This window comes from Homo sapiens, chromosome 1 (genome assembly GCF_000001405.40).
Source record: "Homo sapiens chromosome 1, GRCh38.p14 Primary Assembly".
Classification (NCBI taxonomy): Eukaryota; Metazoa; Chordata; class Mammalia; order Primates; family Hominidae; genus Homo; species Homo sapiens.
In genome coordinates, this window is record NC_000001.11 from 106,816,333 (window position 1) to 106,843,817 (window position 27,485).

Consider the following 27,485-nt stretch of genomic DNA (forward strand, 5'->3'; position numbering starts at 1 on the left):
TAAAATCAGGGCATATTTCTACCTATCCAGAAGTCATCCAGTCATGCACAGAGCTTGGCTGTGGTTGTGATAAAATACCTCTGTATCACTCCTCTACCTTCAAGTAAACTCTGCCAGCAAGGAATCTGGAATTGCTCGGATATATAACTCTGGCATAGGGCTGAAAATCAATGGCTGATATCTAAAGTTGTTAACATCATCTTATAGATAGAGAATGAGCATACAATACACTAACTTTTTTAACTGGCTTCTTTCTCTTAGTAGCCTAAAACGTCAAGTTTTTCTTTCAACAAAGAATAAGAATGATGGTTTTTTTTTGTTTGTTTTTTTGTTTTTTGTTTTTTTTGGTTTTTTTTTTTTGAGACGGAGTCTTGCTCTGTCGCCCAGGCTGGAGTGCAGTGGCGCGATCTCGGCTCACTGCAAGTTCTGCCTCCCGGGTTCACGACATTCTCTTGCCCCAGCCTCCGGAGTAGCTGGGACTACAGGCACCCGCCACCACGCCTGGCTAATTTTTTTTTTTTTTTTTTTACTAGAGACGGGGTTTCACCGGGTTAGCCAAGTTGGTCTTGATCTCCTGACCTTGTGATCTGCCTTCTTGGCCTCCCAAAGTGCTGGGATTACAGGTGTGAGCCACGGCACCCGGCCAAGAATGAGGTTTTGTCCAAAGAAGGGAGTCATCTCTAATTTCAGCAGTTCTAAAACAATGAAAACTTGCATCATTATTATGGTTTATATCACACAGCATTACAATTATTTGGTTACTTAACCTGATTTCCACCAGCCTGTTATCAACTCAAAGAGAAGAATTTTATTTTACGAGCCTTTGTACTGTGCTTGACAAAATATTTAGTTCATGCATGGCCCACAATAAATACTTTTAAGAGAATATACAAAATTAAGCTCATAAAATCTGTGAATGACATAAAGCTAGGGAGATGGGCAGCTCATACATTGGATGAGTACAAAATCAATAATCCAAGTTATCTCTAAAATCAAGCTAAAATCTAATAAGTGGCATTTTCAAATCCTTTATTCAGACTTTTTAATAAAATATCCAAATACAGATCTGAAAGGAAATTGACAAAACTGCAATTCATAAAAAATACTCTCAGGAATTATAGTTCACAACATCAAAATGAACCAGTGTGAAACAGCCTCTTTGGAAACTAATGCAGGTTTGTGACTGTGGCCTAAAGACCCGGGGGGCCTTGTAACCCCAGGAACCAGCCCACCATCACCATCAGAACTCATATACCAGGACACAAGAAGTGTGAAGCTGTTCCTCCACTTTAAAAGGAAGATAATATTTTTAGTTCTACAGGAGGAAGAAGCTTGCTGTTGAAAAGATCTAGCTATGTCAAAGAAGCAAAGGTCAAAGAATATGCAGAGAAATTGCAAAAAAGCCCCAGAGGGAAGCAAAAAAATGACAGGGAGGCACAGCTGCAACACATTAAAAATAGGAACAGGGATTCTCTGGTCAGAAAATAACCACCTCCTGATGGAGTTAGAATCTTTCCAAAAAGCAACATTCTGGAATCGTCCAGGAGATTTCTGCAGTACAGAATGGCCTAGTAAAAACTAAAAGAATTGCAGATGAATTACAAAAATATATCAGAGAGCTGGGCAAACAAGTGATTCCATGGAACAAGCAGAATGAGCCTCTGTTATGTCTCTGCAAGAGTCTGAACTGTATCTGAATTAAACCAATAAAAGAACCACCTTCTTGGAAGAGGAAAAAAAAAAAAAACTTGCCATGAAAGAAAATCTCCTGAAATCTGTTCAGAAGATGGAAGATTAAGCTAATGATTTGTGTGTGTGTGTGTGTGTGTGTGTGTGTGTTTGTGCATGTGTGTGGTAGAAATCCACAGAACAGTAACTGCAAGAGAATTCCAGAACCCCTAAGCTCAGCTCAGTGGAAGCTAAGCAATTGGACAAAGCCATCTAAACCCAAAGCAATGGCTCGATGGAGTTCACCAGGGAGGATCTTGCTCTGATCTAAATATACAGTGGAAATCTGATGTGATCTAGTGAGTCACTCAACCCCTATCTTCAATGCCTGTGACTGCAATAACTTCACTCAATCTTGGAACGAACTTACTGTGGTCAATAGGGCATCCTCTTAGACTCTCATGTCTGACTGATTAGTCTCCAAACTGAGCAAGTGTTCTGACGTTATGGAGGGGGAGCAGGGACGAGAGATAGCAGTAACCAATAGCCGGGTAGTACCCATGTGACTGAGCCACAAAAGGTTGGAAAATGCTTGAAATTTGGGGTGCTACCTTCAAAACTTTTCTTACCATCACTGCAGAGTGTAGTCAAGATGTTGTTTTAATAAAATCAGAAAGCCTTTGATGGGTCATATAAAGGTTTATGCATGTCCTTTATATGACTTAAAACTTAATCAACTGGATTTGCAGACTGCCATTCATGTCTACCAGAACAAAAACCTCCAATGCTTTATGGCACATTAAGGATTGACATTTTAAACTATTTCTAGAATTCGAGTGGCAATTTACCAGATTTTTTTCCCAAAATAATACCTTCTACCACGATGCCTAGCTAAAGACTGATTAATTTGCCTCTTACTGGGCTTTTGGAGATCTGCTTGTCTCCAACTTCTGAGGTTGAAGGTAAATTTCATCTTGACCAGTGTCAGTTTAGTAATTTTTATTCTTCAGGTGTTTTCTGACCATTAGACTGTCTGACTCTCCAGTGTGAGATTGACCTCATTTTTTGGTTCTAAGAGGGTCTTCCATCAGGGCAGACTGGCCTCGGTAACATAGCCCCTGATAATGGGGCTTTATTCAAAACCTTATTGAATTAATAGAGGCATCCTTCAAAGGAAATTCACATATGAAAATTGTTGCTAGAAGCTTACTTATCAAAGAAGTAAAATAACACAGGATATCAAATAATCTACAGTGGTTTACTCATCACTGATTATTATGATCTGATGTCTCACATTTGTTAAAGAACACACTAATTTCAGGAACACTATTCTCTGCTTAATAATTTTCTTTTTGTTATTATTTTCTAGGAAAAAAGCAAATGTATCTTTGAGTCAAGAATACAACTTTTTATACTACTGAAATTCAGTAGAAGAAATAAGTGCCAGGCTTCCTAAACTAAATGTTTTCTTAATCTGCATAAAAAAGATAGGCTTTTATTTTTTTACAACAATAAAAGAAGCGAAAGAAAGTAATGTTCAATTTGTTTCCAGCTGAGTGATAACCTCATGATGGTGTTTAATCCTGCCATATATGCTGATACTTCTTTATTGTCTCACATGGTGGTGAAAACTATTTTGGCTTCTGCTTGTTTTTATTGAACTAAGTAAATATGAAAAACCAAATCCATCATTAAAACTTTTTAATTTTAATTTTTAGTAACATAGTTTATATAAGTGTATGTACTGCTAAAAATATTTTAACATTTGATCATTTAATTGAATCTTCTACATTTCCATTATAAATGGTAACAGTCCATATTTCTATTCTCTCAAATCTGTTTTATACCATGGAATTGGTATGTGGAATGAAGTTTGTTTTGAAAGGTAGAGGGGAAAAACAAAAATTATTGGAAACTTAGGGGCTACAGTAGATTCATTTCAACAGTGGAACTAGTCCTACTCTGCCTTGCACAGGACACTCTAATCAGTGATAATGGTGTTCCCCTGAGAACCAGGTACTATTTACTTAACTAACAAACAAAGGCACAGAAAATTTCTAAAGAGCATTGGCAAACTAGGGTAATTGAATGATGATCAACATAATGAGCAATGATTAAAGATGCTGAGAACGTTATGTAGAAAAAGAAGAAAGAGAGATTATGCTTAATGAGATGATCTTCAAAATCCCCCTTTTTTCCCCAGGGCTGCTGCACCTCATCTACTAAAACCAAATCCTGGAAAAGATTTCTATGAGATGGTTTCTGTCATTCTTCCTAAACTGGGAGCTAAGTGATTAATATAGAGGAAAACTCACAGATAAACATATCTCTGCAAATGCAAATAAGTACTAAAGTGCTGGTAACCAACATCCCCACCCTGGTTCCTCTTAGCACTTCAGTCAAAGGCACACTTCGAACAGAAGAATCTGAACCACAAATTTAGCCAGTCTCTACTACCTTCAGAAAGGCTTCCAGAAGTCATTTTCCTCCCAGACCTCCTAGATTTCTAATTTCTCTATTCCTGCTAGGAGGGACACTACTACCCAATCTAGGAGTATCTTGGAAGATTCAAGTGGGAAACCATTCAGATCTGTCTCTTCCCCTCATCGCATCAACATTTTAATCTGTCTCTACACAACGCAGGATTCACAAGGGAAGTCTCAAATCCCATAGCGTTGCTTACAAGCAGCGTGACAACAAGGATGAAGCCAGAGAGGCACCTATGGTACAAAATTTTAAAAGGTACTTATTCTCAAGTTCATACTATGAGGCTTTTCATGTTCTGATCCTTCCCAGTCTCATCTCTTAGAATCCAGGCCTCACATACTATACCCCAAGTTTACTTAACAGCTTGGTGGTTCCTAAATGACTATCAGAAACACCCTCCTCCCTTTATCTAAATCCTACTCTTCCTACAGCTGGCAAATTTGGGAAGAATTTCTGGAACACACTGCCTACACACAAAATTGAATTAGGAATCCTTACCCTCAGTATAACATTTATCACACTATATGTGTGTGTGTGTGTATATATATATATATATATATATATTAAAGCAAATTTACTGAATCATAACTTACATTAAAATATGAGCCATGCATTTTAAGCATAGTTTATCTCTTCATTAATTTAGATATTTAATTTCTTTCAGCCATTTTATGTCATTTCCAATATATAGTTCTTATATATATTTAATTAAATTTATTACTAGATGTTACACATTTTATGTCAATTTTACAACACATTCACATAGTACTTTTTAATTTAATTTAATATTTTGCTTTTTCTTATATGCTTATTTATCCTTTTTTAATTGACAAGAAATAATTGTACATATTCATGGAGTATATAGTGATATTTCAATACATATAATGTGTAGTGATTAGATCAAAATAATTACCATATTCATCATCTCAAATATTTATCATTTCTTTGTGTTGGGAATGTTCACTATCCTCCTAGCTATTTAGAAAGTATATGTTATTGTTAACTATAGACATCCTACAGTGGTATAGAACATCAGAATTTATTCCTCCTACCTAGCTGTAATTTTGTATCTTTCAACAAATCTCTTTTTATCCCTCTCTTCCCCCACCCTTCCAAGCCTCTGGTATCTTCTGTTCTACTTTTTACTTCTATGAGATCAACCTTTTTTAGCTTCCACGTATGAGTGAGAACATGCAGTGTTTAACTTTATGTTGCTGGATTCTTTTACTTAACATATGTCCTCCAGTTTCATCCACACTGCCATAAATGAAAAGATTTTATTCTTTTTTTATGGCTGGATAGTATTCCATGTGTACATATACAAAATTTCCTTTACCCATTCATCTGTTTTTGGACACCCAGGTTAATTCCATATCTTGGCTATAGTGAAAAGTGCTGTAATAAACATGGGGGTACAGATGTCTCTTCCATGTAATGATTTCCTTTCCTTTGGATAAATTTCCAATGGTAGGATTTCTAGATCACACGGTAAGTTACATTTGCAGTTTTTTTGAGGAACTTCCATGCTGTTCTTTGTAGTGGCAATACTGGTTTACATTCCCACCAACAGTGTGTAAGAGTTCCCTTTTCTCCACATCCTCCTCAGTATTTTTTATTTTTGTATCTTGATAGTAGCCATCCTAACTGGGGTAAGACAATAGCTCATTATAGTTTTGATTTGCATTTTGCTGATGATTAGTAATGCTAAAAATTTTTTCTTGTATTTATTGTTCATTTGTATGTCTTCTTTTGAGAAATGTCTGTTCAGATTATTTGGCCATTTTTAAATTAATTTGTTTACTTTTTGCTATTGAGATGTGTCAGTTCCTTGTATATTCTGGATATTAGTCCCTTGTTGGATGAGTAGTTTGTAAATATTTTATCCCATTCTGCAGGTTGTCTGGAAATGTTTATTGTTTTCTTTGCTGCATAGACCATTTCAGTTAGACATAACCATTTTTCTTTATTTTGGCTTTTGTTGCCTGAGCTTTTGAGGTCTTATTTATAAAATCTTTTCCCAGACCAATGTTCTGAACTATTTCCCTTTTTTATTTTAGTATTTCTACTGTTTCAAGTATTACATTTAGGTCTTTGATGCATTTTGAGTTGATTTCTGTATAGGGTGAGAGATGGGGGTCTAGTTTCATTTTCCTGCATATGGATATCCAGTTTTCCCAGCACCATTTATTGAAGAGATTGTTCTTCCCCAGTGAAAGTTCTTATAACTTTCATAAAAAAAATCAGTTGACTGTAAATATGTGGATTCATTTCTGGGTTCTCTATTTTGTTCCACTGGTCTATGTATCTGTTGTTATGCCAGTACCATGCTGTTTGGTTATTATAGCTTTGTAGTATATTTTGAGGTCAGGTAGTATGATACCTGCAGCTCTGTTCTTTCTGCTCAGGATTGTTTTGGTTATTTGGGGTATTTTGTTGTTCAATATAAATTTGGGGATTATTTTCTGTTTCTATAAAGAATGTTATTGGTATTTTGATAAGGATTGCATTGAATCTGTAGATTGTTTCAGGTAGTATTGTTATTTTAACAATATTAATTCTTTCAATTCATGAGCATGGGATATCTTTCCATTTGTTAGTTCCCTCTTCAATGTCTCTCTCTCTCTCTTTTTTTTTTTTTTTTTTTTTGAGACAGAGTCTCCCTCTGTCACCCAGGCTGGAGTGCAGTGGCGTGATCTCAGCAAACTGCAATCTCCGCCTCCCAAGTTGAAATGATTCTCCTGCCTTAGCCTCCCGAGTAGCTGGAATTACAGTAGCTGGAATTACCACCATCACGCCTGGCTAATACATATATATATATATATATATATATATATATATATATATATATATATATATAATTTTTTTTTTTTTTTGTAATTTTAGTAGAGACAGGGTTTTACCAGGTTGGCCAGGCTGGTGAACTGCTGACCTCAAGTGATCCACCTGCCTCAGCCTCCCAAAGTGCTGGGATTACAGGTGTGAGCCACTGCTCCCAGCCTCTTCAGTTTCTTTCATCAGTGTTCTGTAGTTTTCCTTGTAAAGGTCTTTCACCTCCTCGATTAAATTTATTCCTAGGTACTATACTTTTATAGCTGCTATGACTGTGATTGCCTTCTTGATTCTTTTTCAGCTAGTTTGTTGTTACTGTATTAAAAACACTACTGATTTTGTATATTAATTTCATGTACTGCAACTTTACTGAATTCATGTATCAGTTCTAACAGTTTTTTGGTAGGGTCTTCAGGTTTTTCTATACATACTATCATGTTGTCTTCAGGGAAAATATAATTTCCTCCTTTCCAATTTGGATGTGTTTTATTTTTTCTCTTGCCTAATTTCTCTAGCTAGGACTTCCAATACTATGTTGAAAAGGATTGGTGAGAGTGGGGATCCTTGTTTTATTTTTTCTTCCAGTTGGAGGAAAACCTGAAAACTTTCCATTCAGTAGGATGTTAGCTGAACAGAATGTGTCATATATGGTCTTTATTATGTTAAGTTATTTTCCTTCTATGCCTAATTCATTTAGAATTTTTATCATGAAGAGATGTTGAATTTTATCAAAAGCTTTTTCTTCACATATTGAGAAAATTATATGATTTTTGTCCCTCATTCTATTGATGTAATGTATGATGTTAATGGATCTATGGGTCTAATTGATCTATATACATCCCAATTGATCATAGTGTATTATTTTTTGATGTGTTGTTGGATTCAGTTTGCTAGTATTTTGTTGAGAATTTTTGTGTTTATATTCATCACTGATATTAGCCTGTAGTTTCTTTTTTTAAATTGTGTCCTTGTCTGGCTTTGGTATCAGGGTTATGCTAGCTTTGTAGATGGCAATTTTATTTTTTAAATTATTTATTGCTAATATAGAGAAATATAATAGCTTTTTCTATATTGATTTAGTATCTTGTGATCTTGTTAAATTCACTTTTTAGTCCTACTTGCTTTTTTATAGATTCTTAGGATCTTCTATATGCATAATCATGTCATTGACAAACAAAGACACATTTACCTATTTATTTCCAAAGCATATGTCTTTTATTTCTCTTACTTTTCTTATTACACTGGCTTGAACTTCCACTAAAATGTGGAAGAGGAACATGAGAGAAATTGTAATCTTTTTTCCCAACCTTAGAGCTATTAAATACGATGTCAGATGAAGGTTTTGGATATACTCTTTTTCAGTTTGCGTAAGTTTTTATTTATTCCCGTTCTCTTAATAGCTTTTTAAATTATTTAATATTGAGTTTTGTTAAATTAGTTTTCTTCACATATTGAAATTATTATATAGTTTAACTCCTTTGTTGTATTAATGTGACAAAATACATTGATTGATACTCAAGTTATAAACCAACTTTGCATTCCAGAGATAAATTTTATTTACTCATGGTGTGTTATATTTTGTGTTTATTGCTGGATTTAATTATGATAATATTTTGTTAAGGATTTTGCATTTGTATTCATAAAGTATATTCATGTGTAATTTTACATGCATTCTGTAATGCCAGTACCATAAATCAGTTTGGAATTATTTCTCCTTTCAGTATTTGTGAATTTTCAAACAATAGCTAGTATTTCTTTTCTTAAATGATTGTCTAGAGTTCACAAGCAAAGCTATTCTGGATTGTATTTTTCTTCATGGGAAAGTTTTTAATTGTATATTTAATTTCTTTCATATATATATGGCTATAAAAATTTTCCTTCTTATTAATTCAATTTTTGTAATTTGTACCATTTAAGAAATGTATCTATGCTATCTAAAGTAATCAATTTCTTGGCATTTATCGATATCATATTATAACATTCCCCCTTTTAATGCCTGTAGAGTCTGCAGCAATACTTCTGTCATTTTTGAAATTGGTAACTTGTGTCTTTTTTTTTTCTGTTCAATGTAGCTTGATTGCCATTTTTTGATAATTTGAAGGAAAAAAAATTTATTTAAGTTTTTCTACTACATTTCGATCTCTCTTTTTATTGCTTTCTGCCTTATTAATACCTTGTACTTACTACCATCTAATTATTTTATTGTACTTATTTATCTTTATTGTTTTTATTATTACTTTCTACTTTCCTTGAGTATAATTTTTTGGTAGCATTTAAGAAAGAAGCTTAGACTTAATTTTAGACACTTTTTTTCTAAAATATGCATGTAAGAGAATAAATTTCTCTTCATGTACACCTAAATTTTGATATGTTATGTTTTTCATTGTCACTCAATTAGAAACATTTTCTAAATCTTCATGTAATTTCTACTTGACCTGTGGGCACTTTGACCTATCTAGTCTAGTTGGTTGATGTTTGTTGATATGTGTTTTTCTTCTACCAGTTACTGAGAGAAGATTCTAGAAATTTATAACTATAATTGTAAATTTGTCTATATCTCTTTCAGTTTCGCTAGTTTTACTCTCATGTATATTAGACTACTTGATATTTGTCCCACATATCAATGAGACCCTTTATGACACTTTGGTTTCTTTTTCTATGTGTTTCAATTCAAGTAATTTCTATTAATATATCTTTAAGATTTGTGTTAGTCTGTTCTCACTCTGCTACAAAGAAATACCTGAAACTAACTAATTTATTTTAAAAAAAGGTTTTTAATTTGCTCACAGTTCTGCCAGCTATACAGGAAGCATGGCTGGGAAGGCCTCAGGAAACTGTCAATCATAACAGAAGGGAAATCAGGCCTGTCTTACATGGGCAAAGCAGGAGAAAAGAGAGAGAAGGGGAGAAGGGGAGGTGCTATACACTCTTAAACAACCAGATCTTGTAAGAACTCACTCACTATAATGAGAAAAGCAAGGGGGAAATTCACCCCCGCCCATGATGCAATCACCTCCCATCAGGTCCATCCTCCAACACTGAGGATTACAATTTGACATGAGATTTGGGTGGAGACACAAATCCAAACCATATCAAGATTATTAATTATTTCCTCCACAGTTTCTAATCTACTATTAACCAACCATTAAAATTTCCACTTCTTTTATTGCATTTACAACTCTTAATCATTTCATTATGCTTCAGAGTTTCAGTTTATAGCTTAATTATGTTTATGTTTTCCTTTAAATCTTTACATACATTTTTAATCACTATCTTAAAGTCATTGTCTGATAATTCTATCATTTGCCATTTTTGGATCTGTTTCCATTGACAGATTTTTCTCCTTGTAATGGGACACATTTTTCTGCTTTTTCTCTTGTTTTTAAATCAAATTCTGGATAATGTAAATTTTGTGTTTTTAAATTGTTGAAATTTTTTTAAAATATAAAGAATGTTGGACTTCCAATGTTGGGTGCATTTATATTTATAATTATTATGTTCTTTAAATGAACATCATATCACCTAAACATGTAAAGCAAATATTAAAAGAATTAACAGGAGAACTAGACAGTAATACAATAACAGTAAATGACTTTAATACTCCAATTTCAACACCAGAGATATCATTAATAGAAAATCAATAGTGGACTTGAATAACAGTATAGGCCAAATAGATCTCACTGATATATATATGCACATACATATATATATATACACACACATATATACATAAATATGTATACACATATATACATACACACACACACACACACACACACATATATATATAGAACATCCCATCCAATAACAGTGAAATACGCATTCTTTTAAAGCATACAAAAAACATTCTTCAGGATAGATCATATGTTAGGCCACAAAACAAGTCTTCACCAATGTAACAGTCATCTCAAATATCTTTACTAATCATATTGGTAAAATCTAGAAATCAGTAACAGGAGAAATTTTGGAAAATAGACTAATATGTGAAAATTAAAAACAACACACTTCTGAACAACCATTGCATCAAAGAAAAAAATGTTGTTGTTGTTGTTGTTGTTGTTGTTGTTGTTGTTGTTGCTGTTGTTGTTGTTGAGACAGAGTGTCCCTCTGTCGCCCAGGCTGGAGTGCAGTGGCTCTATCTCTGCTCACTGCAACTTCCACCTCCTGGGTTCAAGCAATTCTGCTCTCTCAGCCTCCTGGGCGTGCGCCACCTCGCCCAGCTAATTTATTTTTTTGTATTTTTAGTAGAGACGGGATTTCAGCATGTTGGTCAGGCTGGTCTCAAACTCTTGACCTCGAGATCCACCCATCTCGGCCTCCTGAAGTGCTGCAATTACAGGCGTGAGCCACCGCTCCCAGCCAAAAAAAAAAAAAAAATCTAAAAAGAAGTTAAAAAGAAGTATCTTGAGAAAAACAAAAGTGGAAATTACAACATACCGAAACTTAGGGAATGCAACTAAAGGAGTACTAACATGGAAGTTTCTAGCAATAAAAGCCTATATTAAGAAAAAAATACTTCAAATAACTCAACTTCACACTTCAAGGAACTAGAAAAAGAAAAGTAAATATTCCAAGGGCAGAAGAAAAGAGGAAATAATAAAAATAAGAGTAAACATAGATAAAATAATAGACTAGAAAAACAACAGAAAAGGTCAATGAACCTAAAAATTTGGTTGAAAATATAAATACAATTGGCAAACATTCAGTTATGCTAGCCAAAAAAAAAAGAGGGAACTCCAATAAAATTATAAATGAAAGGTAAACCATTACAATTAATATCACAGAAATGCAAAGGATCAAAAGAGATTATTATGGACAATTATAATAATTATACACCAACAAATTGGATAACCTAGAGAAAAATAATAAATTCCTGGAGATACACAGTCTACCAAGATTGAATCATAAAGAAAATAAAAATCTGAACAGACCAATAACAAATAGAGTTATTGAATCAGTAATCAAAAGCCTCCCAACAACAACAACAAAGCTCAGGACTAGATGACTTCATTGGTGAATTCTACTAAGCATTTAAAGAAGAATTAGTGCCAATCCTTCAAACCTTTCCAAAAAGTTGAAGAGAACAGAACACTGCCAAACTAATTTTAGGAGTCCAGAATTACCCTCATACCGAATCCAGATAAGGACACCAAGAAAAGAAAGAATAATTCAGTATGTGCAAATTAATAAATGTGATACACCACATTAACAAAATGAATAATAAAACTTATTATGTTAATAGATGCAGAAAAAGCATTTGACAAAATTCAACATCTTTTCATAATAAAACCTCACAACAAATTAAATATAGAAGAAATATACCTCAACACAGTAAAGGCCATATTTAACAAACCTATAGCGAACTTATACTCAATGTTGAAAAGTTAAAAACTTTTACTTATAACATCAGAACGTAGAAAAGGATTCTCACTTTTGCCGCTTGTATTTAAAGTAGTACTAGAAGTCTTGGCCAGAGCAATTAGACAATAAAAATAAATAAAAGGTATTCAAATTGGAAGGGAACAAGTAAAATTGTCTGTACAGATGACATAATCTTATATATAGAAAACCCTAAAGACTTCACCAAAAAAATTTTAGAACAAATAAAGTAGTTTGGTAAATTTTTAGGATACAAAATCAACACACAAAAATTACCTGGGTTTCTATACATGAAAAAATATGTATTCAAAAAAGAAATTAAGAAAACAATTCAATTTACAGTAACATCAAAAAAAATACTTAGAAATAAATTTAAACGAAGAGGTGAAAGATCTGTACACTGAAAAGACATTGAGGAAAGAAATTAAAGACACAAATAAATGAAAATATATCTTCTTTTCATGGATTGGAAGAATAATTTTGTAAAAATGTATATATTACCCAAAGTGATCTACAGATTCAATGCAATCTCTATAAAAATTCCAATGACATTTTTCATAGAAATAGAAAAAAAATTAAAATTTATATGGAACCACGAAAGACCCTGAATAGCCAAAGCAAACATGAGCAAGAACAAAGCTGAAGGCATCACACTCCCTGATTTCAACTATATTACAAAGCTGTAGTAATCAAAACAACATGGTACTGACATAAAAACAGATACATAGACCAATGGAGTAGAGCAAAGAATCCAGACATATACCCATACATACATGTTCAACTAATCTTTGACATGAGTGCCAAGATTACTATGGGAAGATAGTCTCTTTAATAAATGTTGTTGGGAAAACTGGGTATTAACATGAAAAAGAATGAAATTGGAGCCTTGTCTTACACCATATACAAAAATTAGCTCCAAATGGATTAAAGACTTAAATGTAAGATTCAAAATATAAAACTTCTTGAAGAAAACAGAAATAGAAAACTCCTTGAATTTTTAATGCATTGATTTTTTTATATATGACAACAAAAGCAAAAATAAACAAATGGAAATATATCAAACTAAAATGCGCCTGTATAGCAAAGAATAAAATTCAAAAAAATGAAAAGACAACCTATGAAATGAACTAAAATATTTCAAAATTGTATATTTGATAAGGGTTAAATGAGGAATTGACACAATTGCCAAAAACAAACAAACAAACAAACAAAAAACCTATTCTTAAAAATAGGCAAAGAACCTGAACAAACTTTTTTTTCAAAGAAGACATAAAAATGTTGAGCATGTACATGAAAAGGTGCTCAGTATCAACTGACCATCAGGAAAATGCAAATCAAAACCCCAACGAGATATCACCTCGCATCTGTTAGGAAAGTTATTATCAAAAACATAAGAGATAACAAGTGTTAATGAAAATGTAGAGTAAAGGTAAATCTTGTACACTGTTGGTGGAAATGTAAACTAGTAGAAGAATTATAGAAGACAGTATGAAGTTTCTGCAAAACTTTAAAACTACTGTATGATCTAGCAATTCTACTTCTAGGTATATATCCAAAGGAAATGAAATCAGTAACTTGAAAAGATAAATGCACATTCAAATTTATTGTAGTATTATTCACAATAGCCAAGATATTGAAACAATCTAAGTTTCCATTAATGGGTGAATAGATAAAGAAAATACAGTATGTATTTATGTATGTATAAATAAATAAATACACACATATACAAACAATGGAATATCATCCAGCCATAAAAAAGAAGGAAATCCTGACATTTGTGACCTGGAGGATATTATGCTAAATGAAATAAGCCAGACACAGAAAGAGAAATACTGCACAGTCTCACTTATATGTGGAATTAAACAAACTCAGAATCATAGAAGCAGAGAGTAGAATGGTGATTGCCAAAGGCTGGTGGGGTTGGTGGGGGAGTTGGGAGAAATGGGGAGATATTGGTCAAAGTGTTAATATATTGTAAGATAAATACATTCTGAAGATATAAGACACAGAATGAGTGACAATGAAGGTGTTCATTAATTTCTTTTAAATAATGTTGGGCTTTGTTCTAACAGACACTTACATAACTTGCAGGTTGGCTTAATTATTTACAGACCCCTTCATAAGCTTTTTAAAGGTGGGACTAGACTAGATTTTCCTCTAAGCCTGCTTTAGCCCTACTGCCATTCTGGGGTATCTACTAAGTGCTCTGTGGTTCACCCTCCACTTTGCATGATTGGGACTCAAATGTCTCACAGAAATACATAAGCTCTGCAAATTGCTCAGCTTACAACTCCAAGTTTTTCTTTGTTCTACATCATTGAGTTTTACTCTATGCATATGCAGGTTAGTAGTCAGCTAAAAACTCAAAGGTCTATGCACATATTTCTATGACTATTTTTCTATGTAGTTTCCAGATTTCGACCACCTCAGATTCCTCAAACTCTAATCTCTGTCTCTTCAAGTCAGAGAGTCTACTATACTTTGCTTAGATTTCCCTTTCTCTGCCACAGCACAGAAAATGCCTACAAAAAGAAAGCTGGGACAAACATAGGACTCACCTCATTTGTTTCCCTTCTCCAAAGGATCACATTGCTCAGATGCCAGCTGTCCAATGCCTGAAAAGAGCTGTTTAATATATCTGGTCCATTTTTCCAGTTATTTATGGCAGGAAGGCAAGTCTGGTACCAGTTGGCTAGAAGTGGGAGTCTATCACACTGTATTTTAATTGCTCATTTTTGTGTAGTAGGAATCGCAGTTTGAGCACAGGCTACATTCAGGGCTGAACTTCAGGCATGTTTGATGTATTAGTTTTTCTTGTTGTACTGTAACAAATTAACACAAATTTAGTAACTCTAAACAACACAAATTTATTCTCTTAGAATTCTGGAAGTCAGAAGTCTGAAATGAGTCTTGCAGGGCTAAAATCAAAGTGTTGGCAGCACAGTTCCTTCTGGAGGCTCTAGACAGAATCCTTTCCTTGTCTCTCCCAGCTTCTCAAGGCTGCCCACATTCCTTGGCTCACAGCCATGTCACTCCAATCTCTGCTTCTGTTGTGACATCACATTCTTCATACTTTCAAACTCCTACCTCCCTTTTATAAGGACACTGTGTTTACACTGGAACCACCTAGATAATGCAGGATAATTTACCCATCTCAAGAACCTAATTGCACATGCAAAGTCCTTTTGCCATGTAAAATAACATATTCACCTGACAGTCAGGGCTTGGACATCTTTGAGGAACAATTTTTCAGCCTATTACATTTGGCAATCTGTGTAAAAATCACACAAGAATCTATTTATGTGAAGATTTTGGATTTTAAATTAAGCAGGAAGGGAGAAATTGTATGAATTGGCCATGGGAGTGAGCTAACAGAGAAGACTGTATTTGTCAGGTTCTCCACAGAAACAGAAACAATAGGATGGAGACAGAAGAATATGGGAGAAGAAAGTGAGCAAGAGAAAAATATTTATTTTAAAAGATTAGTGCACATAATTTTAGAGGCTGGCAAGTTCAAAATATGCAGAGCAGCCTGGCAGGCTGGGAATTCCAGCAGGAGTCAATGCTGCAGGCTTAAGTAGAAGGCAGTTGGGAGGCAGAATGCTTTCCTCTTCTGAGGACCTCAGTCCTCAGTCTTTTATCTTAAGGTCTTCATCTGATTGGATGAGGCCAACCCACATTATGGAGAGTAATGTGGTTTATTCAGTCTACTGATTTAAATCTAAAAAATACATTCAAATACATTGACAGTAACTTCTGGACTGCTGCTTGAACAGCAGCTGAGCACCATACACTGAATTGTCTGTCCATCCAACCAATTACCTAAGGAGAGGAGTTGCTATAGAAGAAAGTAGAGTTATCTACATAAGAAATTTAAGACATATTTTCATAAAGTATAAAACTGACATGAGGAGGCTGAAGTGAATATAAAATCACTTTGGCACCTTAAGCATTTGGAGGCCTTGAGAACATTGGGACATAAATTTTGGTGTGGACTTTCACATTCTTTTAGTAAGATGAATCTCTTTTAAATAGCTTATCTAACTAAGAATATCAATGAAAAGTAGCCCAGGTATGAGATAAAGCCAGTGCTGAGAGGATGATTCCTGAACACATGTGAAACAGCCCCTGAAAACTCTCAATTACTTGAGGGAGATTCTGAAAGTTCCTAGGTGTCCTTTGCAGATTGCAGGAAATAACAAAAAAATTATTAATATACTGTAAATATTAAAGTGATCCAATCTATATCTGTACGGTGAAAATGCCTAAGAAAATTCAAGTTACTATTATTTGTCCCACCATTAAGCAGGAAGCTATTTGATTATTGTCTGTTCTTACTCACCACTGTATCTTAGTGGTAATTCATAAATATGTGTTGAATGAATGAGTTAGTCAGTGAATTAGTAAGAAGAGAATAAGGTAAGAGAGAAGAAAATGAAAACAACTAAAGTCATTATAAATGGCGAGAAGTTTGATGGTAAGTTATATTCAGCTTTTGGTATACTCTCATATTTCCCAGGCTCACAATTATTGTCATGCAAGATGCCAAGGAACGCATGGAAAATGGCACCACACACAAAGTGATATGCATCAGAGTTCTTGCATTTAAATATTAAAGCATAGAAAATCACTGTCAAATTCTAGCATGTCGATGTGTCTGGTTGAAAGGGATAGCAGACTGAATCTTGTCATTATCTCCTGCTGTGCATCAGAAGCTACATACCCATTGTAGAGTCCAGTCCCCTCTCAAGCTTGTGGTTCTGGGAGCTTCCTTTAAGATAACAGCAGGTGTTTTGTTTTTAAGCACAGGGAAAAAAGACAATTTTAAATAGTTAAGTTGATGATACTTTTAAGAGAGAAACTGCATAGAAGAAAGTAAAGTGGTCCAATATCTTTGTTTGTGGGGATTATATATATTCAGGGGATTGAAAAATACAAGAAGACACAAAATGCATGTGACAGATAAGAGAGGAACCAGGAGAGTTCGTATAAGAAAAAATAGGAAGAGAAATGGTTTTAAGAAGGAGGAAGAAATGAAAAGGGTTGAATGCTGCAGAAGGATTAGAGAAGATGATAAATTAGAAATGTGTTTACCATTTAATTAACAAAATATACTAACAGATAAAGTAATGTCCCTGAGGAGATGGAAGGAGAATGATGTAAAGCAGGTAGAAAGGTTATCTTTGGACAAATCATAGGCAGGAGGAAGTGATGGAAGTCTGGGAATTCAATGTATGAAGATCCCATTGAAGCAGGAAATTGATAGAGAAGGTAAAAGAACTTCACACTGGTAACTTGAAATAAAAGAAATAATGAGAGAATATGCTGAAAGTGAAGAAGTTGCAAAAAAACCTATTGAATCAGCTGCCATAATATGAAATGCTGTTATTAGAGCATGTCTTCTCAGATTCCAAGTCTGCTAATGAGAGTAGGCTGTGGCATAGTTTTGACTATGGGGTAGAGGTAAAGGAATACAGATTTCTAAAATATATCAGTAGGAGAAATTAATTGTAGGAGGTTCCACAGTGACATTTCAGGTTTTGGGATTGCCATCAAATGTATTCATTCATCCATCAATCCAATTCAGTAGGTATTCATTGACTTCTTGAGTAGTTACTTCAAACCTAATGATATGTTAGAATGATGAGCGAAAGTAGACATAACCTCTAACCTTATAAGCCTTTTTTATGTGAAAGGGGAATGGGGGAACAGGATATTAATAATAATGGCATAAATGAATGTAAAACATTAACATTTATAAGTTCTTTAAGGAAATATGAGAGTGATGTATGGGAAGATAAAGCCAGGGGTTTTGAAGAGTCAGGGAAATCATTTAATAAAAAGATTATATCAATTCTCTGCCATTTCTTTCAGAAGATAGAAGCAGAGGAAATACTTTCTAATGAATTCTTTGAGACTAGTATTTCCATAATATCAAAACCAGACTAAGACAATGCAAGAAATAAAACTAGATACCAGTATCTCTCATGATAGACACATAGATAGATCCAAAAATCTTCACAAATTATTAGCAAATCAAATTCAATAATATGTAAACAGAATTATATATCATAATGAAGTGGAACTGATCCCAGGTATGCAAACCTGGTTCAACATTCAAAAATTAGTTAATGTAATTTTATCACTTCAATAGGCTGAAGAAGTAAAACACAGGATCATATCGATAGATACAGAAAAAGAATCAGGTGACAAAATCCAACATCCATTCACAGTAAAAATTATCAGTAAATTAGGAAGAGAGGAAAACACCTTCAAATTGATTGAGAACATCTGTAAAAAAAAAACCTACAGCTAACATCACACTTAATGGTAGCAAACGCAAAGCTTTCCCACTAAAATCAGGAACAAGGAAAGGATGTCCCATTTCACTCTGATTCTTCAATATGCTATTGGAAGTTCTAGATAATTCAGAGTCAACAAGAAAAGAAAAGTGAAACAAGAAATAAAATTGTTCACAGATGACATGGTTATCCATGTAGAAAATCTGAAGGAATTTACAAAAATAGTAAATAAACCTAGAATCAATAAATGATTACAAAAAGGTTGCAGGATGTAAGGTCAGTATGCAAAAGTCAACCACTTCCCTGTATACCAGCAATAAAAAAGTAGAATTTGAAATTAGGAAACAATGCTATTTATATTAATAGTATCTAAAAAATAACATATAAGAAGCACATGAAAAAACTCTAAATCTCTTAATTAAAAAACTAAATAAATGGAGAGAGAGCTCATATTTATAGATAGAAGGCAATATTATCAACATGTCAGTTCTTCCCAGCTTATTTCTAGATTAAATGAATCCCAATCAAAATTCACAGAAAGTTATTTTGTGGATATTGACAAATGCCTCTTAAGTTTATATGAAGAGGCAAAAGACCCTCCATAGATAACAAAATATTGAAGGAGAACAAATTTGTAGGACTAATACAACCAGATTTCAAGACTTCCTATAGAGCTACAGTAATCAAGGCAGTGTGATATTGGAGAATTGATTAATTGATCTATGGAATAAAAAAAGAAAGCCCAGAAATGGACTCAAATAAATATAATCAGCTAATCTTTGACAAAGAGTTAAAGGCAATACAATGGAGAAAAAAAGTATTTTCAACAAATGGAAATGGAACAATTAAGCATCCACATGCAAAAAAAAAAAAAGAGAGAGAGAATTTAGACACAAATCTTATGACCTTCTCAAAAACTCAAAATGGATTGCAGATCTTAATATAATATGCAGAACTATAAACTCCAAGAAGATAACATAGGAGAAAATGTTGATGTCACTGATTTTGATGATGACTTTGTAGATACAATGCCAAAGGCACAATCTATGGAAGAATGGTAAACTGGACTTCATTAAAATTAAAATTTTCTGCTCTGTGAGAGGCAGTCAAGATAATAAAAAATTCAAAAAAATGAGCTACAGACTAGGAGAAAATATTGCAGAAGACACATCTATTGGACAAAGGACTTGTCAAAAATATTCAAAGAGCTCTTAAAACTCAACAAGAAGGAGAAAAAAAAAACCCTGATTTTAAAAAAAAGACTTAACAGTCTGGGTTCAGTAGCTCATGTTTGTAATCCCAGGACTTTGAGAGGCCAAGGAAGCAAAATCTCTTGAGCTCAGAAGTTTGAGACCCACCTGGGCAAAATAGTGCATCCTTGTCTCTACTAAAAATCAAAAAAATTAGCCAGGCATGGTGGCATGCGCCTGTAGTCCCAGCTACTGAGGAGGCTGTGGTGGGAGGATCACTTGAGCCTAGGAAGATCGCTTGATACCAGGAGGTAAAGGCTGTGGTAAGCTGTGATTACACCACTGCACTCCAGCCTGGGCAGTAGAGCAAAATTCTGTCTCAAAAAAGTCATATATATATTATATATATATAAATTATATATATAATATATATAAAATTATATAAATATAATATGTATAAAATTCTGCTCTGTGAGAAGCAGAATTATATAAAAATTATATATTTATAAAATATATATAAATTATATATATAATATATATATAACCTATATATGGTGGGTATATATATATATATATGCACCTTAACAGACATCACCAGAGCAGCTATGCAGATGGCAAATAAGCATATGAAAAGATGTTCCACATCATTTGTCATCAGGAAAATGCAAATTGAAACAAGAATAAGATACCACTACACATCTATTAGAATGACCAAAACCGAGAAACACTGACAACACCAAATGCTAGTGAGGATGAGAAGCATAAGGAACTGTCATTCATTGCTGGTAAGAATGCAAACGGTACAGCCACTTGGGAAGGCAGGTTGGCAGTTTCTTATAAAACTAAACATATTCTTACCACATAACCCAGCAATCACACTACTTGATATGTACTTGAAGGAGTTGAAAAAGTATTTCCACACAAAAACCTGCACTTTATAGCAGGTTTATTTATAATTGCCAAAACTTAGAAGCAACCCCAAATATCCTTCATTAATCCAACCAGTGAAATATAAGTTAGGACTAAAAATTGATCTGTCTAGCTCTGGAAAGACAAGAAGGAAACTTTAAATATATATTACCACATGAAAGAAGCCAATCTGAAAGGCTACATATGTATGATTCCAATTATATAACATGCTGAAAAAGGCAAAACTATGAAGGTAGCAAAAAGATCAGTGGTTGATAGGATTTTAGGGAATGTAGGGAGGTTACTTCAGGCAGTGAAACTACTCTGTATGATACATTTGTGTAGACCCATAGGATATACAACACCAAGAATGAATCCTAATGGAAAATATGTGTGCTGGGTGATAATGATGTGTCAATGCTGGTCATCAGTTGTAAGAAATGCACCACTCTGATTGGGAATGTTGATAACAGGGGAGGCTATGTATGTGTAGGGACAGAGGATATATGGGAAATGTCTCAATTTTGTTATGAACCTAAAACTACTCTAAAAAAATAAAATATATCAAATAAATTTTCTAAAAATGTTATTGGGGACTTCTTCCATGATGAGGCTATAGAGGTAGATAGGGGTCAAATCAGTCCAGGTCATAGGGAAATTTTGTCATAAATCAGAAGATAATAAATAGAAACTACCTTGATCAGGTTTACATTTTTGAAAAGGTCATTCTGTCTGCAATGTGAAGATTAATGTGGAGGGGGTGCCAAAATAAATGGAATTTAGACCAATAGAAAAGTTATTGCAGGATAGAGGTGATTGTAAATTAGAAAAGGTAGTGATGACGAGAACAGTAAGTGCATAAGAGATATTTAGAAGCAAAGTCAAAAATCTTGTTGATGCATTGAACATTTCATATGTGACCCTCACTTGATTAGTAGACACACTGATGATTATTGCATCTGTGTGTGTATGGATGCTGTAGTCATATTTACACGCTAACAAATTACTACCAATAAATTACAGCATGAATTTCCCTCAACCTTAAGAAGAGATGGAATGTTCATAATGAGGAAGAAGTCTTCTGATTTTCTAAATAGGTAGGTATCAGGGTATTATGTGAATTTGACAACAAAATTCACAGATTATGTAACTTGCTTTGCACTGTCATTGAGTCTGCAAGCTAGTGAACAATGTGATCATTTATTCTAAAAGGAATAAGCACCCAACCAAATCAGAGAGCTGAGTAATGGCTCCAGTAATATTCTCATCAGAACTCATTCTGGCATCAAACTAAGTTCCCCAGACAAATTACTAAGTTTTACACATAAATTTTTTCTTCTCCATATTTCTCTCAGCCAAAGCTTTATTCCAACTTACTTTAAATTTCTTTCCTGTTTTTCTTTTCTTCCATAAAGTAAATGCCAGTACTTTCACCTCGAAGTGACTTCTCCATTTTATTGTCTTTTAAGAAATTCTCCTCATCTCCAATAGTCTATTTTGGTACTGAAAATGAAGTTAGGAAAAAAAATCATTTTCGATTTTAAGCTCTCCGAGAGAACTTTGCCTACCTTTTTTCTCCACAATATCCCTAAAACGTATTCTAATGCTGGGGATATTATCAGTATTTAATAAATTATTGTTGAATAAATAATAAATACATTACTGAATGAAGTTAACATAAGTATCATTTTCTCATATCAACCTTCCCCAATCCCTTATAATAGGTCATGTCCCCTATTAATCACCTTTAAGTCCCCATTCTTCTCCTTCATGGCACCACTCACCATTGTAATTAAGTTATAAACTGGGTAATTGGTTGTTTAATTTATATTTTCTAGCATACTTTGAGCTCCATGAGAGCAGGTACCACTCTGCCCCTATTCACTGATATCTGCTCTGTGCTTAAAACTGACTGAAACACAGAAATCGTGAAATGAATATTTGTTGTAAATTAATACATAGTAAACAATGTAATTAAGGAATATGAAAAATCTTAGATGAGAGAAGCAATTTGCAGCTTCAGATTCATGTCTATTTTTCAGTTGAGGAAATGGAGACCCAGAGAAGTTAAGTGACTTGCTCAGTGTTTCATAGATAATAAGTTGTCAGAGCTGTATTTTAATCCCAGTTCCCTCCAACTCCATAGCCTGTGCTTTGAAATGGAAACATTGTGCCACGCTGCACCATTTAAGCAATGATATATTCATTTAAAGCACCAGAGATCACATTTTAGGGAGAGAAAAAGTTTGTAGTATGAGATGAATCAATCAGCCATATGGAAGGAGGAAAAAAAGAGCAGGCTAAAAAGCTTCCTTTCACTTTGTACAATATGAATTGTCACAGGAATCAAATTTGGCACATACTGTAAAGCCAAGAAAAAAATTATCCCACATTGGATGTAAAATGTGACTTGCATTTTATCTATGTTTCTGAAATTCAGAAAGGATACCAGAAGACTTGTGGAGCTGAGGGCATGAAGTTTTGATGATAGGCTTTTTATGCACTTATCCCCAGGCAGCTAGAGGAGGACCTGAAAAATTGAAGCCGACCTCAGACATAATGAATACATTAAATGATGAAGCGTCTGGTCAGGGTCAGGCAGCCTCCTTGAAGAGAGTAGATGTGTCTCAGGACATTGAGTCTCCAGACAGAGGCAGGGGCAAGGAAATGGCCTATCAGGGCATAAAACATTTACATCTGTTCTTCTTCTGTCACTTCTCTTTGAGGTTGTTTCCCTTGCCTTCAGCAACATCGCAGGTTCACAACCAGATTCTTATGCCTGCTAATTAGAAGAGAGGTCTAACAGCAGCGATCAAGTCTCCACCTGCAACTGGCACCTAATTCTAACACTATCAAATAGATAATGGAAATTATGGGTCATTAATTATTAACTCTATCTAACCTGCCACATTCAAGTTCCACAGATTGTCACTTCCCATATGGCTGTGCAGTCAAGGCTTTGCACTGTGGAATCCTTAGTACCCAACCTTCTAACAGGTCCTTATCACAGAATTTCACATATCAAAGGCATTTTCGATTTCCAAGTGGAACACACAGCCCACGCACTAATCCTCTTTAAAAAAAAATCTGTCTCAAAATCTCATCCAGCCTGTGTTACAATCCCGTGATTGGGAGTCACCACCTCACGAGGCAACCTCATTCTGTTTTTAGGATAGGTAAAATCGCTAGAAAAATCTTCTGTGGTTAAACCAAAATCGAGTTCTTTGTGGCCTTCTGCTGCCGTGGCTTCCTCTGCTCTACAGAATTTCATCAATTCTTCATCTACATTGTATGCCATGTTGTAAAAAACATGGCATCCTAAAAAGAGTTCTGGAATCTTACAAACATGAGCTCAAATGTTAATTCTGGAAGTAAGAAACATTTTTTATTTCTCAAACTCAATTCCCTCACCTGTACAATGAGGATAACACCTCATGGAATTGCTGCTATACTTAAAAGAGTTAAATGCTACCTAGTGCCAATGGGTAGACTTGAATGGTAAAGAGCATGAAGTCTGGAACCAGGCTGCTTGGTTTGAACTTTGGCCCCTAACACTTACTAGCTGTGTGACCTTGGGAAAGCTACTCAAGCTCTCTGGTCTCCTTTTTATCATATTTACTCTGGTCTCCTTTTTATCATATTTACAATAGCTATAAGGAAAGTAACATGTCTTATCTCAGAGGGTTGTTTGGAAGATTCATAAGTTAATATGTTAGGTCCAGTTTCAGTCAGGGTAAGCTAACTGCTGTATCAAAGGAAAAGCCCCAAATCCTAGAGCCCTATGACAAAAAAAGACTTATTTCTTGCTGTTGTCACTATAAAACTGGACAATTCAAGGATACAGTCTTCTTCTACCTGGGAGCATCATTGTCCCACAGGACCTTGGCATCTTCCACTGTATTCTCTGTTTTCGATACAGGTAATCACAACACAGAAGAGTGAAGAAGGACACAGGCTCTTAGCCACCATGGCCTAAAACTGTCCCACACCTCTTCAACTCACATCCTACTGTCCACAACCAGTCATCAGTCATGTGCAACGTTCACACATAAAAGCCCTGGAAAATGAAGGCCAGTGATTTGCCTAGGAAAAGTAGTAAGTAGATTTGGTGCCAGTCACAGGTGGAGACTCGATTGCTGCTATTAGACCTCTGTTCTAAATAGCAGGCATAAGGAACAGTAAGTGGGTTTGGTTTGGTGGTTCCTCATACATCATGGTTGAGGGTCTTTCATCAGTTCTTAGACTTGATAATGTCACCAACATTTTGGATCCTAACCAGTGCAAAGTGTATTGTTTTAGTTTTTGGTATGCACACAACATAGATACATATCAATTGGTTCATTTTTCAATATCTTTATTGTTCTTTATCTTATGTTTTAAAAATGGAGAAAGCCTTATAAAGGAAGGAAATTCTGACACATGCTACAACATATATGAATGTAAAAGACGTTATATTAAGTGAAATATATATATGTCTTTGCCACAAGGACTGAGAAGAGTGCCTAACACTTTAACACACACTGTTAAGTGTGGGTTATTATTATTACCACGCCATGTGTTAATAGTAACTACAGCAATTATAATTAAAATAGTTCTTGATACTTAAAATGTCATATTTGCTGGACTAGGCATTCTTTTTGTCATTTTTTCATACATCATGGTTCAGAGTCTTTCATCAGTTCTCAGACTTTATAGTGTTACCATCATCTTGGATCCTAACCAATGCAAACTGTATTGCTTTTCGTTTTTAGTATGCACACAATATAGACTCATATCAATTGGTTGCTTTTTTAATATCTTTATTTTTCTTCATCTTATGTTGTCCCTGAATCCATGCCTTGCATTTAACTAAGACTTAGCTTCAGGACATGCCATTGATCAGAGATTTCAAAATATGAGTTTTGACTCGTGGGTGAGACAAGGATATTTCAGTGAATCTAAAATGTGTTTCTATAATGGAATAGAAAAAATATATATATATATGTATAGCTTGTTGTTAGGTTTAAATGAGTTTGTATATGTAAATCATTAGAACACTAAATTTTCAAAATGAAGAAAACCTTATAAAGGAATGAAATTCTGACATATGTTACAACATGTATGAATCTAGAAGACATTATATTAAGTGAAATAAACCAATCACAAGAGAATAAATATTATATGATTCCACTTATATGAGGTCAAGAGCAGTCAAGTTCACAGAGACAGCAAGTAAAATGGTGGTTGCCAGGGAATGGAGTCATGGGGAATTATTGTTGAATGGGTACAAAGTTTCAATTTAGGAAAATTAAAAATATTCTAGAGATGGATGGGGTGGTAGCTGCTCAATATATGAATATGCTTAATGCTACTGAACTGTGTGTTTAAACATGGTTAAAATGGTCAATTTTATGTTATTTTAACAAAAGAAGAAAAAATGGACAAAAATCAGAATACGTTAAAAATATGAGTGCCTCACACTAGAGTAAGGTAGGTATTATTTTACGAAACATTTATTTCATATATATGTGCACTTACCAATGAAGTAAATGAATTTCTTAGTATAGGTCAAAGTTAAATAAAAGCTACTATTCCAGAGAACAATTATCACAACAACACGATAAAGCATATGCATTATTTTTTGAGCAGAGTTGTCCTTGCTGAATCTAAAATTCATAACAATTGTTGTTTTTGAAATTCCAAAAATTGTTGTAGCAGTGCACACACACACAACCCCCACTGCCGCTACCACCACTTTCCACTTATACCAATAACTCCATGCTCTCACATTTTTAAAGATTTGACTATGCTATCTGTCCCTCCCTTCCCTCCTGATCATTCTTCCCTTCCTTTATGGATCAACTTAAATGTTGTTCACATGCAAGCTTTTTTTGACTTGACCTCTGTCTGTGATAAGAGAAAAACATACTCCTCTAAGATAGCATTTATTATTTTATTTGTAAAACTTGTTTAATTTTTTCCCCACTGAGTTATAATCTCAGAAGAAAGTGTTTATCTTGCTCACCACAAAATCTCCAGGATTTATCAGAGTGTCCAGAAGACACTATTGTATGTTTAAAAATTGTTAATGGATGAATGAATGATGACTGAATAAAGACACAGAGCTACCTCAGTAACAACTTCAAATTAAAAGATATATAGCATATACTGTTAGATAGCCTAGAATAAATATTAATTTCATATTTATCCTGTGCCTTTTTACTTCTCTGTGGTCTTTCCTTAATAATGTAGATACTTATTTCATAGTTATTGATGGTCCCTTCTTTCAATATGAGAGTAAGGAACTTGGAGTAAAAAGAATGTATGCAATGAAACTGTTAAAGCCTTTTTTAGAGAAATGAAACACAAACATAAGAATGACAGCTCATACACAGTGAAATTGAGCTTCCCTTTTACCTCTGTGTTTTATGGCAGCCGCAGATGCCTGAAATTACAGATGTGCCTATAAACCCCCAACACGCTAAAACCTTTAGTTGCTCCTTTGAAGGTGTCATTTGTATAGCTACATCTTTAAAAGGTGGCAATTTTTCCCATATCCTGAAAACACTCACCCATTAAGCCCTGTTGTATTGCTCTTACCTTCTTGCTATTATCATATTACTCTTTATTCTTGACATCCAATCTATCGAAAGTGAGAGACTTGCTGTGCTGTTTCCATTCACGTGCTGCCAGGTTGCTGGGGACGAGGATAATCTGTCATTTTGGGTCAGGAGGGAGGCTG

The 27,485-nt window shown here is 34.2% G+C and overlaps 2 long non-coding RNA genes and 1 pseudogene across 2 annotated transcripts; 2 read left to right on the top strand and 1 right to left on the bottom strand.

Annotated features, from left to right (window-relative positions):
* Positions 1,319-2,007, top strand: NDE1P1 (nudE neurodevelopment protein 1 pseudogene 1; annotated as a pseudogene).
* Positions 1,907-21,861, top strand: LINC01661 (long intergenic non-protein coding RNA 1661). The gene is made up of 3 exons (NR_147165.1): positions 1,907-2,027; positions 3,872-4,410; positions 21,788-21,861. It is a non-coding gene; the product is annotated as a long intergenic non-protein coding RNA 1661 (long non-coding RNA).
* LOC105378888 (uncharacterized) lies at positions 14,931-27,485 on the bottom strand. The gene is made up of 3 exons (XR_947675.3): positions 27,344-27,485; positions 22,142-22,267; positions 14,931-15,185 (listed from the first exon to the last, which is right to left on the bottom strand). It is a non-coding gene; the product is annotated as an uncharacterized LOC105378888 (long non-coding RNA).